This window comes from Homo sapiens, chromosome 18, assembly GCF_000001405.40.
Source record: "Homo sapiens chromosome 18, GRCh38.p14 Primary Assembly".
In the NCBI taxonomy this organism is placed as follows: Eukaryota; Metazoa; Chordata; class Mammalia; order Primates; family Hominidae; genus Homo; species Homo sapiens.
The window spans coordinates 5,841,585-5,857,014 of NC_000018.10; the positions used below are offsets into that span (position 1 = coordinate 5,841,585).

General features: G+C 38.2%; 1 long non-coding RNA gene across 10 annotated transcripts in view; it reads left to right on the top strand.

Annotated features, from left to right (window-relative positions):
- The window catches only part of MIR3976HG (MIR3976 host gene), a 165,609-nt gene that overhangs the window by 92,786 nt on the left and 57,393 nt on the right, over window positions 1-15,430 (top strand). The gene's annotated exons all lie outside the window — the stretch shown is intronic.

Sequence of the window (15,430 nt, forward strand, 5' to 3'; positions counted from 1 at the left end):
ATAAATTCATTGGATGGAAATTTTAAAATTCAACTGTGATGATGAAGGCTAAAAATTAAAATGATCCAGTATAAATAACACCAGAGGGTGAACCCTCATAAATCAGCAAGTCTGTTGTTAAAAATAGTTCCAAAATATTATTCTAGCTATTAGATGCCATCTACTGGTTGTAATTACTATATGATACAACTGGCCATGGTTTTAATGCAAACGGAGAATACCCAAGACATCTACAGTTAAAATTCAAATCGTGTTTTATGGCATTCATATTTTGTGCAAATCAATCACTGAATAAGCTAAGCTACATTTTGAAATTCAGACTGCATTTAGGAAAAAAGCTACTGTGAACCAGAATGCCTTACTTAGATTTTACTTGTATTTGTAAAGTTTGGTCTTCCAAGAATTTCTGCATGGTGGGGCCAATATGATTTCTGGTGATTCTACAACTTAGTTTTTTTTTCCAGATGTAGTACAGTATATAGGGATCTGGAGATAGTTCTTTGACATTGTACCTGAAATGCATTTTGCAAAAGCAGTCAGATGCCAGCTGTTCTTCATGTAGGATGTGGAAGTGTGACAGACACAGTGGTTCTTGTGCTGTTGATTAACACACACAGGCTCTATCTGCATTTCTGTATTTAAGAATGATGAGTACTGATGTCCATTACAAAGAAAATTAAGTATGTAAACCAATCTCATGACACTTCTTGTATTAGTATACAGAGACTGTGCTTATGCTCTAGGAAGGAATAATTAGGTACACTACGGATAAAGAAGGTAACAGTTCCCTAGATATCTTAAATTAGAGGAAAGCACACAGATAGCAAAGTCTGCTAATGAACAGGTGCTGGCAAATTGCAGCCTGTAAATCGAATCCAACTGGCTGCCTGTTTTTGTGAATAAAGTTTTATTAAAACACAGCCATGCCCATGTGTTTGCGTATTGTTTAAGGCTTCTTGCAACAGCAGAGCTGAGTCATGGAGACAGACACCATATGGCCTGCAAAACCTAATATATTTACTATCTGGCCCTTTCAGTAAGTTTGCTGACTCCTATTCTAGAAACTTAGACTCTTAATTAAGGCTATCATTTAGTGGAAATCCTAAATCAGCATCTTTGCTTCCATCAGCATCAATTTTGCAGCAGCCATGGCTTGTCCTATGAGAGATGATTCTACCACAAGAACCCAACCACAAGGACGGCTCCTCTTTGAAGTTTTTACAGTCGATCTCTGGATCAGCCAGCGAAGTCCTGCTCCCAGGATCCAGGGAGAGACCATGGGTGCCCTCTAGGGCATGGTACAAAGGGAGGATTTGTTCCAGTAGAGAATAGAATAGGCCTTTTCTTTCACCTTTTGGTTTCCAGGTGCTGAACTACATGTAGGAGTCTTGGTAGTAAAACCAAGCTTAATGGTTATTGAAATAGAACTACCAGAGAGGTGGTAGAAGCACATGTTTTGTACAAGTTGGTTAACTGCCAGCAGCTTTGAATCGTGTAACTGCTTACAAAAAATTTCACATGGTCCAGGAATAAGAGGAAACAAATGTATGAAAAACAAATTCCCAGATACTTACATTTAAAATAAAAAGCAAACTAACAATAATTTGGAAAATTTATACTTTCATATACTACTTTTATGTAGAAAAAAGATTCAGGAAACTCCTAAAGCTGATTGTTCAAATGTCATATTTATTGATATACCCAAGGCCCTTCTTTTTGTTAAAACTACCTACATTGATGATAACCATGGAAAGAATAGGATTCGCGTATTATCTTTCTAGGTACTTGTGAAGACATCGTCTCTTTTGTTCAAAAATGCTCTATGGTAAAGAGAGGGAAAACTATTTTCTATCTCTAACTTCAATGAAAAAAAACAAAGATTCAGAACAGAATGTATCAGAACTGAACTGTGGGTTTGGATAATTACTTTCTGGCTGTGATGTTGGGGTAAGTTATCTCTTGGGGTAAAAGAAAAATCTCTAAGCTTCAAATTCCATCAGCTGTTAAGTAAGATAATATCCACCCCATGGAGTTATCATAGGGATTGGGGTTGTCCCTTGCCTTGCGTCGGAGAATTTGACTGGTACACAGTTCCTTATGATGATTTCAACTTTTCCTAACTGAGAAGAGTGACTCCCTGTGCCTATACACAATGTGGTTTTACACTGAACACCTGCTTTCCTTCTGGGAGTCTGAACTGGTTACATGTTAGGCAGAGGGTGCTTATGTGACCAGCTCCCCATAAAAACCTTGGGCTTTTCTAATGAGAACCTTGACTTATCTAATGGGCATCCCTGGGCAGAATCAGCAGATGCTTGTTGCTGAAGAAAGAAGCATGCTCTTGGGTGTCCCCTCGCAGGAGGGAGAAAGCATGAGGAAGCCTGCACATTGGTTTCTCAAGACTCCACCATGGCTTTTTCTCTTACAGTCTGGCTGTATATCATTACTATGTTGCTGGAAGGAATCTTAGCCATGATTCAAACTAAATGATCCCCATGAGTTCTTCTAGAGAAACTCCAAGTATTAGGGTAGTCTTAGGGACCCACAACACACTATATGGTTTCTTTATATTTTAATGCTAACTTGGTTAGGCTAGCCCACTAGTTCCCAACCTTGGCTATAATTAGAATTACCCAGGAAATTACACACACACATTACTCCAACTGCCTGTACTCAGTCTCAGACCAATTACATCAGGATTTCTGCTGTGTAAGACCCAGCAATTGGTATTTTTTAGTTCTGACATCTCTATGTGGTTCTTTTTTAATAGTTTCTATATCTTTGTGGAAATTGTCCATCTCTACAAGGATATTGTCAACCTTTTCCACCAGATTCTTTGGCACCTTTTTTCTTTTTCATTTTATTTTGAAATCTTAGACTTATACTAAATTTCAAGAACAGCAGAGAACCTGAATACCCTTAATTTGGTATAGCCATAGTACAATTATCAGAACTAAAACATTAATGCTGGTGCATTACTATTAACAAAACTATAGACTTTATTTGGATATCACTAGGTTTTTCTAGTTATATCCTTTTTCTGTTTAAGGATTCAATATAGGGCCCCACCTTGCATTTAGTTGTCTTTTTTTTTTTTTTTTTTTTTTTTCCTGAGACAAGGTCACACTCTGTTGCCCAGGCTGGAGTGCTGTGGCATGATCTCAGCTCACTGCAACCTCTGCCTCCCAGGTTCAAGATATTCTCGTGCCTCAGACTCCCAGGTAGCTGGGACCACAGACATGCACCACACACCCGGCTAATTTTTGTATTTTTAGTAGAGGTGGGGTTTCACCATGTTGGCCAGGCTGGTCTCAAACGCCTGGCCTCAAGTGAGAGGCTTCCTCGGCCTCTCAAAGTGCTGGAATTATAGGCATGATCCACCATGCCCCGCCACATTTAGTTGTCTTATTGCCATAGTCTCCCCAGTCTGTGATAGTCCTTCTGTGTTTCCTTGTCTTTCATGACCTTGACACTGATGAAGAATTCTGGTTTTTGCAGATTGTCCCTCAGTTTGGCTTTGTCTGATGTTTTCTCATGATTAGATTGAAGTAATGCATTTTCAGTGAACTCTGCAGAAGTGGAGTACCTCTCTCAATGTATTATAGCTATAGCAGTGATATGTAATGTTGATATGTCTTATTACTAGTGATGGTAATGGTGTTGGGTTCTGGATTTCTTCACTCTAAAGTTTTCAAACATTCCTTGGGGAGGTACATTGAGACTGTGCAAATACACTGTTTCTTTTTAAACTTTTGTCCACTAATTTTAGCATCCATTGGTGAATCTTTCCTACAACAATCTTACTGCAGTATTCTATCAGTAATATTTGATTCCCCTTATTTCTTCTACATTTATTAATTAGAATTCTCTAAGAAAGAGCTCTTCTCCCATTTATTCAATTATTTATTTATATCAGTATGTGCTCATAAATATTTATTTCATTCTATGTATTTGAATAAAATATTATTATTATTTTATTTCTTAAATGGTTCCACCTTTGGCCACTGGGAGCTTTTTTCATGTTGGTGTCTGTGCCTCTTGATATATTCCCATCATCTTTCAGATACTTCCTTACTTTTTGGTACCAGAAGATGCTCCTGTTTTATCTTATATTTTCCCTAACCCTGCCTTAGAATCAAACTTTTTTTCAAGGAGCTGTGGTTCCTTTTATGGAGAATGGGATTTAGAAACCAAGATCTGGGCACCAGGTGTGCTCATCGCTGCTGTGGAATCACTGCCTCCAGTCCCTCTCAGCGGTAGAGTTTGGAAATATATGTATGCATACCCACCCTTGCATACACACATCTATTAGTTTCTATATCTCTCTACTGAATATACTTTTTAAAAAAATGTTCATGAATTCATACTAATTTCTCCTATTGCAATCCAACACCTCATGTTTCATTCTTGCCTTCCTCCTTTCCTAATTCATAATTTTTTCTTGGATGGTGAGAAGCCTGACTCTCATTATTGATAATATTTTTATATGTTTAACCCTAATACATATATAAATTAGTTTCAGAATAGCCAACCCAAAACCTTGTAAGAAACAAATCTTCTAACTAGAAGTTAGTTAGAAGTCAGTCAGTGGTTGTATGCAGTCCCTGGTGTCTTTATCTTTTGGCATCTTCATCGGAGTCACTGTAAAGTTCCTATCTGCTCATTCCAATGTCTAGGCCTTCTGGGTCTGCTGCTGTTGACTCATTCCTGGTTTTGACCATAGGTCACATTTTCTTTCCTCTCTGTGTGTCTTGTAATATTGGCTTTTACTTGAACATTTTGTATGAAAGAATGGTAGAGACAGAAGTAAATAACACTGACTCCAGACTGATTCTGTCTCATCTGCAGTCATGCTGGGTGTGAGCTTTGTGGAAACTTGAGTTTGAGTCAGTTTACCACCAGTTTCCAGTGTTTTAGGTCAGAATCAGACCTTGTTCTTCTTCAGGGCCAGGGATACAAGCACTGGTGAGATCCTGGAAAGCTCTTTTCCTTGACAGCTGAACTGGCCAGCTTTCTGGTTAGTTGGGAGACTTTTCTTCACTTTCCATCCCAGCTGCCAGCTGCTCTGGAATCTTGGGGAGGTTGTGCTCTCCAGCCCTGCTCAGCACTGCCTTCTATTCTGTGGAGGCCCCTTGGCTTCCTGCCTTCCTATCTCTTTTGGAGGGCAACTGCCTTGCCCCTGGGGGAGACACTTCAAGCCTTCATGGGGCAGCCCTGTGGACACCTTGATTTTAGTGAGACTGTGTCAGACTTCTGACCTGCAGACTGTTAGATGATACATTTATCTTGTTCTGAGCCAATAAGTCTGTGGTCTTTTATCACTGCAGAAACAGGAAATGGATGTACTCCCCCTAAACATTCAGTAAAGACCTGGGGGAAAGAGTTGCAGGTGGGAAAAGTTGCTTTGTGCCTAGGCCTATGGAATTCTGACTGTGTGAAGCAGACTACCTCTGGGTATTAAAAGCTCATTAAGAGTTGGGCTGGTGGTGTTGGGATGAATTGTGTCCTCACAAAATTAATATGTTGAATCCCTAATCCCAGCATCTCAGAGATTAACTCTATTTAAAGATAAGATCTTTACAGAGGTAATTATGGTAGACAGGACCATATCCAATAAGACTGGTGTCCTTCTAAGAACAGGGCATTAAGGCACAGACACAGAGGGAAGACCTTGTGGAGGCTTGGAGGAAGACAGCCATCTACTATCCAAAGACAGAGACATCAGGATGTAACCAACCCTACAACACCTTGATCTGGGACTTCCACCCAGCCTGTGGTGCTGGTCATGCCAGCCTGAGCAGACTGTCACAGCCGGCTTTTCCTGACTCCCCTTTACAGAGGGCTCCTACCCTTCCTGCCACTCCACAGGTAAGAAAGAAGTCATGGGTCTCTCATCTCCCGGCAAGGGCTCGTCACTTTCTGAAATTCAACTAATTTAAGCTTCTTTGCATTATTAGCTCTCTATTAGTTTAAAAAAACAAAAATCACAATTATTCAGCTTATTTTGGTGGAAGTCTCCAAGCACTAGTGTTTCTAAAAAGTGTTCTTCCACAGCCAAAATGAAAATCCCCTTGGCTAAGATGTCCTAGTTTACAGGCTTGGCATATTTTATAAAAAAATTGAGGTACCAAACAACCTTCAGAAGAACATCAAGTCACAGTCTCCCATCCCAAAACACACACACACACACACACACACACACACACACACACACTCCTTTCACCTCATAGTCTTGAGACAAATGCTCTTTGACCTGTGGAATAGGTCATTTTGACCCTGTTTTTGGCCACCAGTGAACATACAAGTTTGTGTTGGTTTTTTACCCCCCAATAATGACCTTCCTTCCTTCCTTCCTTCTTTTCTTTCCTTCTTCACTAGTGTGACCCAACAGACATGTAATAGAATGCCAAACTACACTGTAGGGCATAAGCTTCTGGAAAGTAGTGGCAGTTATGTGACAAGAAAGATTGCCAGCCCAAATCTCAAACCTTTATGGAAGTTCCTAATGATGGTACACCATGTAGTGGTATTTGAACAGTTTTCCTGGACTAATAGCTAATAATTCTTACATTTCTATTTCATATTACCTTTATAAGTATCAAGACATTCAAAATATTTTTATGCCATCTGCTACCTCTTTTGTGCTAAGCTTTTTAAAAAATTTATCTAACACTTAACAATTGACTTTCTTTTTATAGGTATTCAGTGCATTAAATTTTTTCTTTAGAAATATCTTTGAGATATTTTTAGATACTTCTCCTAGGGCCTTTCACCCTCCAAAGATAGAAGACAATTTTCTCATAATTCTATAATGCAGTGAATTTTATAGATGTATGTATACATGTTTAATAATTAAATTGCTGCTCAGTTTCTCACTGTTTAAGGGAGAGGGCTGACCATGTTCAGAAGCCTAGAATCCTCACTCTGTCAATGATTATAGTTACCAGTAAGACTAACAGACTCAGTTCCCACATTGAGTGAGTGGCAAAGAGCAAAGTATTCAGGCATTGAAGAGATATTGAGATCACTGAGCTAGAGATCACTTAAAGTACGTTGTTCTGTACAAACGCCTGTGGTCAGATCAATCTTCAGAGACCGAGTTCTTAGCTTTGCATGTCCTGTGCTGCTTCTCATTCTTGAGGCATTTTCTGAACTGTCACAGACTTACCAGACCCCCAAAGCATGCAAAGGTGTCATTTACAGTGAGCCCTATAACTTCCAGGTGGACCACAACATCAATGTGTGTATGCCAGGACATATTGTCCCAGTGGGAAGTCTACAAGGGAAGTCAAATGATTCTCAGAAGGTGGTTTTGGCAAGCAGGAATCAGAGCAGCAGCATATCTTAGCAATCCAGCAATTCAGCTGTGATAGTCCAGTGTGGCAGCTTCCACCATCTACCCACCACAGGGATCAGAAATGGTACAGCTGCTTGTTAAGACCCTCGTCACTGTTGGAAAGAAACTGAAATCCTTGCTGTTTCACCTCCTTCTCCTTCTTAAATTGTTTTAAATATCCCAAGATGACTTTCGATGTCCTGTTGGTTGTATGCTAGGATATAATATATTGGTCCTACATTTCTCTATAAAATTTCAGTTACTTTACCTAAGAGTTTGCCAATCTCTTCTACCAAGCACTCAAAATGTCTTGGGTTACTTCTAAGAAGGCTAACCACTTTTTTTAGGTGTTAATTTCCCTAGTTCTACTTCAATAGGTTACCTATTGAAGTATTTGGAGTAAAAGAGACTATCACAGTCACCTGGTGGCCTCCATAAAAATATTTATTATGTAATTAAATAAAGTACTAGTGGCTAAGAACTATTGAGCCTTTACTACTACATGCCAGATACAGAACTATACGTTTCATATCTAGTATCTCATTTAACCCTCATAACAAACCTAGGAGGCACAGGAACTATTATTATCCTCCATTTTATAGATGCAGAAACAGGTAAGCAAAGTCAGGTCACCCATTGTTTTAACTGCTCTAAGATATTGTCTCCACCAACCATAATGGGCATGATTGATTCCATTAGCCCTAAACTACAAAGTCAGACACTAGTTTAAGTGGTAGATATGATACAGTATGAATGATTGTTTAAAATGTAATTCCTTTATAAGGCAAGGATTTGGGTTGGACCTAACACTTCTATTTCAGAACTAACCATGTTATATCAAATTTGTATCGCATGAGATTTTATATTTCAAGGGCATGATTTAGCTCATGGTACATCCAACTGCATGAAGTAAGGAAACTTGCTATAATAGAATGCCATGGTATGTATTAACATGTCCATCGGAAAAGCTTCCTCAGAACTACAAATGTATGACTCCCATGCTTAATGGGGATCAGGCTGAACACTGTAACAAGCTGCCAGATAATCTGGTGCATACTTGGAGCATAGGGACTCTGCTTCCAGGAAATGCATAAAACTCAAGTATAGACAGGTCATCGATGAGGGTGTGTTCGGAAGGCTTGTGGCCAAGAACCATGACATTAACATAACCCATTAGAGACTTTTCCTTCTTTTATCACTCAGATTGTATGCATCAGATCAGTGGTTTTAAAAGCAGTTTGCCACTAACAGCAATACATCACAAGTTTTCACAGGTTTCTGATTTCTTATAAAATAAAAAATAACGTCATTGGAAACATCTCTGTTAGAATATTTGACTAATGAGTCCTGTGTTCGGGCCTCACGTTTTGCTGGGAAGATGTCCACAGTCTGTGGTCATGAGCTACATCCTAGCTCTTCATTTCTGGAATAAATATTTTTATATTCCTCTCTCCTTTGAAATTCTGTATTTTTGTGTCATGTTTTAATTCCTTTGACATTGCTCTTACAGTGTGGTCATTTGAAAGCTAAACAAAACCACCTGGACTTCTGGATAATCGCTCATATTTTAGTATTTTTCTTTCATTAATGTTCATATATAATGATTTTGTTTCTCAGTTGGAGGGGTAACTTTTATCTCCCAAGGGATATCTGGCAATGTCTGGGGACATTCTTGGTTGTCACAACCTGGGCGACAGGGATACTAGCAGGAGCCAGTAGATAGAAGCCAGGGTTGTTGCTAAACATCCCACGGTGACTAGAAGGACCCACGCAACCAATAACTGTCTGGCCCAAAATGTCAGTAGTGTCAAGGTTGAGAAATTTCAGCTTAAGGAAAGCACTTCTGAAAACATTAAGATTTACTTATGCTTAATTTTAGTCTGTTGACATGAAGATTTTCATCACGTTTTAATATTCTTATTAATTAAATGGTGCTTGTCTACTTTCTAATTAGCATTAAATGACTTTTCCTATATTCCAGGGCTATAGAAAGATTTTTTAAAGATCTATATGAAGAATAAGAAGTTAGTCCCTTTCGGACAAAAATCTTCAGTAAAATTGATCTGTGCCCCAGGCACACAAAGAAGCAGGAATCTGGGTATTCTCACTGTCAATATTCCATATGTCTAGCCCCTGGAAACCTAAAACAAGACCAGAGAATACCAAGGAAGGCAGATTATTTGGAAGACATGGATGCCAAAGTGCTTCTCAATCCAGTCTCAGAAGCCAGAGATGTCAGTGGGTGCTGCTGTTTTATTTCCTGTGAATCGGAGGACGATGAGAAACCAAATGAAAATATTGCCACAGTTAAGATTGAAAAGAAGGCAATTTATGAGTGAGGTGTGGATTTCAAATGAGATCTTCTCTGTTGACAGAGAGCCTTTGCTCTAAGCCAATACCTGAGCTTCTGCCAGTTTGAACAATTATAATGGAGGAAGGAGATGAGGGATTAGAAAAAACAAAGCTGACAGATGGCAATTTGTGAAGAGTTGAATCAACATAAATTATATCTCATCAGTGAGCAGAGGAAAGAGAGGATGTTTTCCAGTGTTCGGCTAACCACTGAGATGGTGAACATGCCAGAGGCACAGCAAGCAAACCACTGGGCACCCTCCAGATCTGGATGCAAGCACAGAGCTGGAGAAATACCCTTTATTGGAAAGCCATATGGATTGCAAATTGTGGATAGACATCTATTTGAAACAATACAATAAATGAACATCTGGGATTTTGGTAGGTGTCAGTCATAGACTACAGAAAACCAGAACAAAATTGCTCATAACTAAATATGATAATGCAGAAAGTATCCAAGACTCGCCAGTTCAAAACCCACATTTTTAATAGTGTATATGGTTAAGTGTAAATGTTTTTTTCTGAGGTTAGAAACAGTTCACTGAAATCATATAAAATGTTCAAGTTATCAATTTTTTTCTGTAGCCTTAAATTTTCATTCTTTGAAATTAAGTAATTAAACATTAATGTTAACTTTCCAAACTTTTGTAACTATCAAGGGAAATAGAAAAGTCAGCTTGTCAGACTCAATACATTGTAATAACATATAATATAAAATAACATAGATATGGATACACATAAAAAATTACTTTAAGTCATGATAATTATAACTTTGGGGATTAAGTAAAAAAGATCTCCAAATTCAAATATAACAAATATTAGGTTCATGTGAAATAAAAATCTTTTAGCAAGATTTCTGCGTGAAAATTTTTCATTGTATGAAAACCCTGAGTTTCTCTAGTGAACAAACTAGAACCCAGTCAGAATAACTAGACCAGCAGATGGCACTAAAAGGAAAACTAACAGTCTCAGATTTTCCTAGGGCTTAAAATTATAGAACGGGAAGATTCCAAAGTGAATATAAAATAGATTGAAATCTATATTTCTGATTATATATGTAAAGGCAAAGAAATAGATTTTGGGAAAAGCAATATAAGGCTTATGTCTACTTTTTTTTTCATTTTGAATGATCGGCTGTGGTACAAATAAGTTTTACACATCCTAAAGATTGTTTCTAGTCAACAAATATATTGTCTCAAGTTATCATTAAAATGATTATGTAGAGATATTATTATAACAGTTGTTCTACTGGGAAAAGCAGCGGGTGGTTAACGCTTGTAAGAAACGAACAGCATCGCAGTGGGTGGCCTATTGCAAGGGGCAGTTTGGGGTTCATAAAGATTTTTGTGACCCTCCTGCTTGCCCCTACCATTTGAGGATTTTGTGTAGGACAAACACTTGTAAAGGCAGAAAACAGTATTTAACATTTAATGAAGTCATCCTCCACTGACGCTTTACAGCAGATGTGCTTGACTTAGTAGAATGTTGGAAAGAAAATATAGAGACAAACACATTAAAAATTATCAGACATCCTCGTAGCCTCTCCCTGCAGGTGTCTCTGAAGGGTAATTACCTTCTGCACAAGATGGAAATAAAATGGGGAAAATGTTTTGGTACAAAAGTACAAGAAGTGATTTAACGATGGGCGGGAGTCATAAGCTCCAGATGCATTATTTTTCTTTCTGTTACTTCCAGTTTTTCCTTTTTTTCAAGATGAGTTCTACATTATATGCAGAACTTACAGAGGAACAATAAGACAGTCTTTAATAATTCATATCTGAGATGAGTGAAAATAGAAGGGTGCATCTTATTATGAAGACCTCAACTAGATTAGTTATTCCAGCACACAGGATACACTACAAAACCATCTTTATTCCCACCGAAAAGGCACATTCTTTTATTTTCTGTCTTGTAAATTTCTGATGTTGGAGGGCCTAAGATTCTCGGACAAGCACCCATTCGATTCTTAATGGTTTGCTTCCCTTTGGGGTTTAAACTTAAGATCTAGATGTAGTTTTGCCAGCCAGCAAGAGGAGAAAAGGGAGAGAAGGAGACAATAAGAAAATGAACTTGGGGATCCAAAAGGTCACTTTTTCCGTCATGCTAGATGCATATTTTGATGTGAACTGGCAGAAAGACTTGCCGCAGGAAGCCGTGTTATCAGTGGCATCAGTACCGCCTTGTTGAACAACTGAACAGTGTATGCTGCTTCCTCCAGACCAAATTCTGTCATTTGAATCTGAAATGGCAGCTGTGTCAAAACAAATTTACATTATGAAGACCTAATTCCAATTTCGAAAATGCTGATTCAAAAATCTGTGTAACTCAGCAACAATCAATTATGTTTGTCAACCTCTTTGAATAACTGTTTATTAATTTCTCAGCACTCCAAGACTGGATCCCACATGGCCCCGTGGTATAAAAGCTGTATTTTCTGAATCAATAATAACTGTCATTTATTAGACTTCTGACATCTAACAATCCGGCAGACTAGACATTATGAAGAGTCGATTAGCTAAAGTACCGATAGATTCTGAATAGATTATAAAAAGCACGATTTTTCAAGCATTGCTGACCTCATAAGCAAACGCAGAGTTTTCAAGGCCAAAACAAGCAAACAAAAACAACTGCAAACAAGAGAACATAACAGTGGGCTAAGACTGGACTTGAGCATAGCAAGAAGCTGGATTTTTCCTGGGGGCAGACGCCCACACCAGGAGTAGATTTGGACCTGGGACCCACCTCTGAAAGTGGATAAAGTTGAAATGTTAGGAGTTCCTTGTAGGCACATTATCTGTGGAGGAAAGCAACCCAAGAACACAGAACTCTCATGGATTGTGTGGTCAAACATAGTCAAACACACAATCTTCATATACCTAAGGAAACAAACCAGCAGAGTGAGAGTTTGCAAAAGCAATTCATCAGTATAGAGTATTTTACTTTCTGAACAAAGACTTCAGATGATTGGCATGATCAGATTTGAAATAGGAAAGAACTATTACAATCCAAAATAGAATTTTTAAAAATAAGCAGGAACTAAGGACTATCAAAAATGCAGATGAAATAAAAAGTATAATTCTTGAAATGTTCTAGACAGCATGTTATGCACAGATGAAGAGAGAATTAATATCATACAATTTAATCATTAAATCGTTGAATTTATCATTCAATTTAAAAGGAAGCCCTGCACCTCCTGAAAGAAGGGAAAAAATAATAAACATCAAGATAAATCCAAGTTACCCAGAATGCAGCCAGGAGATAAGGAGTTAAAGAAAAAAGATTATGTGGAGGGCACAATGAGAAGGCTGAAACATAAATGTCATCAGTATTTGAGAAGAAAAAGTGCAGAACATAGGGGGGCGGATAGAGGAGAAAAACAAATTGTGGGGGTCACAGCAGAAATAATAGAAGCTAAAAGACTGGATAATAACACCTTCAAAGTGCTAAGAAAAAAACAACTGGCAACTCGTAACTATATACCTGCTGTGCCTCCTGGGTTCAAGCGATTCTCTTGCCTCAGCCTCCCAAGGTGCCAGCCACCACATCTGGCACATTTTTGTATTTTAAGTAGAGACAGAATTTCACCATGTTGGGCAGGCTGGTCTCAAACTCCTTGTCTCAAGTGATCCTCCCACCTCGGCCTCCCAAAGTGCTGGGATTACAGACGTGAGCCACCGCACCCAGCCTGAAAAAATTTTTGTATAGAAAATTAAAATATTTAAATTGTGAAATTAAATAACGAGCTAAGATACTGATTTTTTAAAAATACCATGTAAATTGAAAGAGGGGTAATTGGATTTAATCTTCTAAGCCTTGTTATTGTTCAGAAGCAAGGTTAAAGTAGAGATGCAGGTAACATTTTGAGGGTAAATACTAAAAACACAGAAACAATGAATCACAAATCAGTACAAGGAGAAAGGGAAAAATAAAAACAAAAAAGTTGAAAAAAAAAAAAATCATGGAAAATGGAGGACAAATAGAAGGCACAAAGCAAGAAGCTTGGGTCAAGTCTAGGATTTCTATTTCTGGCTGTATAAATGATATTTATTTATTTATCTATTTTTTATTTTTGAGACAGAGTCTTGCTCTGTTTCCCAGGCTGGAGCGCAGTGGCACCATCTCAGCTCACTGCAACCTCCACCTCCCAGGTTCAAGTGATTCTCCTGCCTCAGCCTCCCAAGTAGCTGGGACTACAGGCGCCCACCACCACGCCCTACTAATTTTTGTATTTATAAATGATTTGATACCTGAGATGACCTTCTCAATACAAATTAGTAGAAGTTTGGATAAGACAAAAATAAATTATTTAAATGCACAGAATATGGAATATGAGATGGTATAAGATTAATAAATCCATAGATCCCCAAAGTTAAGTGAAAGCAGGAATCCAGAAAGACATGGATACACCAAAGCCAGATTTCACCCTGAGGGTTTCTGCTGGACCTGGAGAGCTTAGGCAGCACATCGCCCCCACCCTTTGGCCACCACACAGGAGGTAATCATAAGATCCCAGGGTCTGCTCAAGGTGGAAAAATTTAATAGAAGCAGTCTGCATAAATTTGTGATCTCACAGAGCTACATCCTTAGCTTCAAGGTTAGTGAGAGGCCCACAGTGAAACAGACTGTCTTGCCCTTGGTGCTGGGTAAAGGGAGGAAATCTTCCCTGAGGATTCATGTTCATAAATTTGTCCTCATGCAGGTTTTTGGTCTAAGGTTATAGTAGCAAAATGTTCCAAAAAGACTTCAAACTGATAATTTAGAACAGAACAGTGTTAGCGGAATCCTAAAGCAGCAGAGAGAAGCAAACAAATGTTCTCCGGAAGAACTGAACCTCAACTCACACCTCAGAGAATTCCTAGCAACCTAGTTCTAAGAAAGTGAGCAGCTTTCACCCAAAAGGAACATGCGCGAATGAGGAGGACAGAATCAACAGACAATGGGAAGAGATTATCCAGACTACATGAGAACTTCAATACATTTAAGGAAATAAAAGAGAAGATTGAAATATGAACAGAAAACAGTCTATTAAGAAGGCCCATGCAGATTTGAAAGAGAACTAAACAAACTTCTAGAACTGAAAGTTATAATAATTAAAAATTTACAACTTGGACACATTAAACAAATTACGCTACTGAGAAAATCAGTGAATGAGTGAGACAGATCGATCTATCCAGAATGTAGTATAGAGATAGAGATGAAAAAGACAAAATAAAGGTTGACACAAGGAGAGTTGAGTGAAATTTAACATGGTTAACTGAGGTTTCAGAGGGAGATAAGAACAAACAGAGACAAAATTTGGGGAGAAAATATCAGATCCAAGAAACCCAGTGAAGAGCAGAATAGATAGTGGGCTTTTTAAAAAATATAGACATATAATGAGACTTCAGAATGCCAAATAGAGAAGATTTTAGAGGCCAGAGAGAAAAGATGGACTAAGACCAAGGAAGAACTGGCATTTAGATTAATGTCTGACTTCTCAAGGACAGCAATGGAAGCCAGAAAACAGTGGACTAGTAGCTTTGGGGTGATGAGAACTGACAATCTGGAATTCTATACTCAGAGAGCATTTTCTAAGAATGAAGGCAAAATAAGATAAATAGAAACTGGTGATTTTCTGGATTTGCTAGCCAGAAGCTTTGCTGAAAGAAATTCTTAAAAATCCACTTAAGTGAATATTTTTAAATCCAGCTATATGCTACTTATACCCAAATCATAAGAACTCAAAGACTAATGCAGAATGGA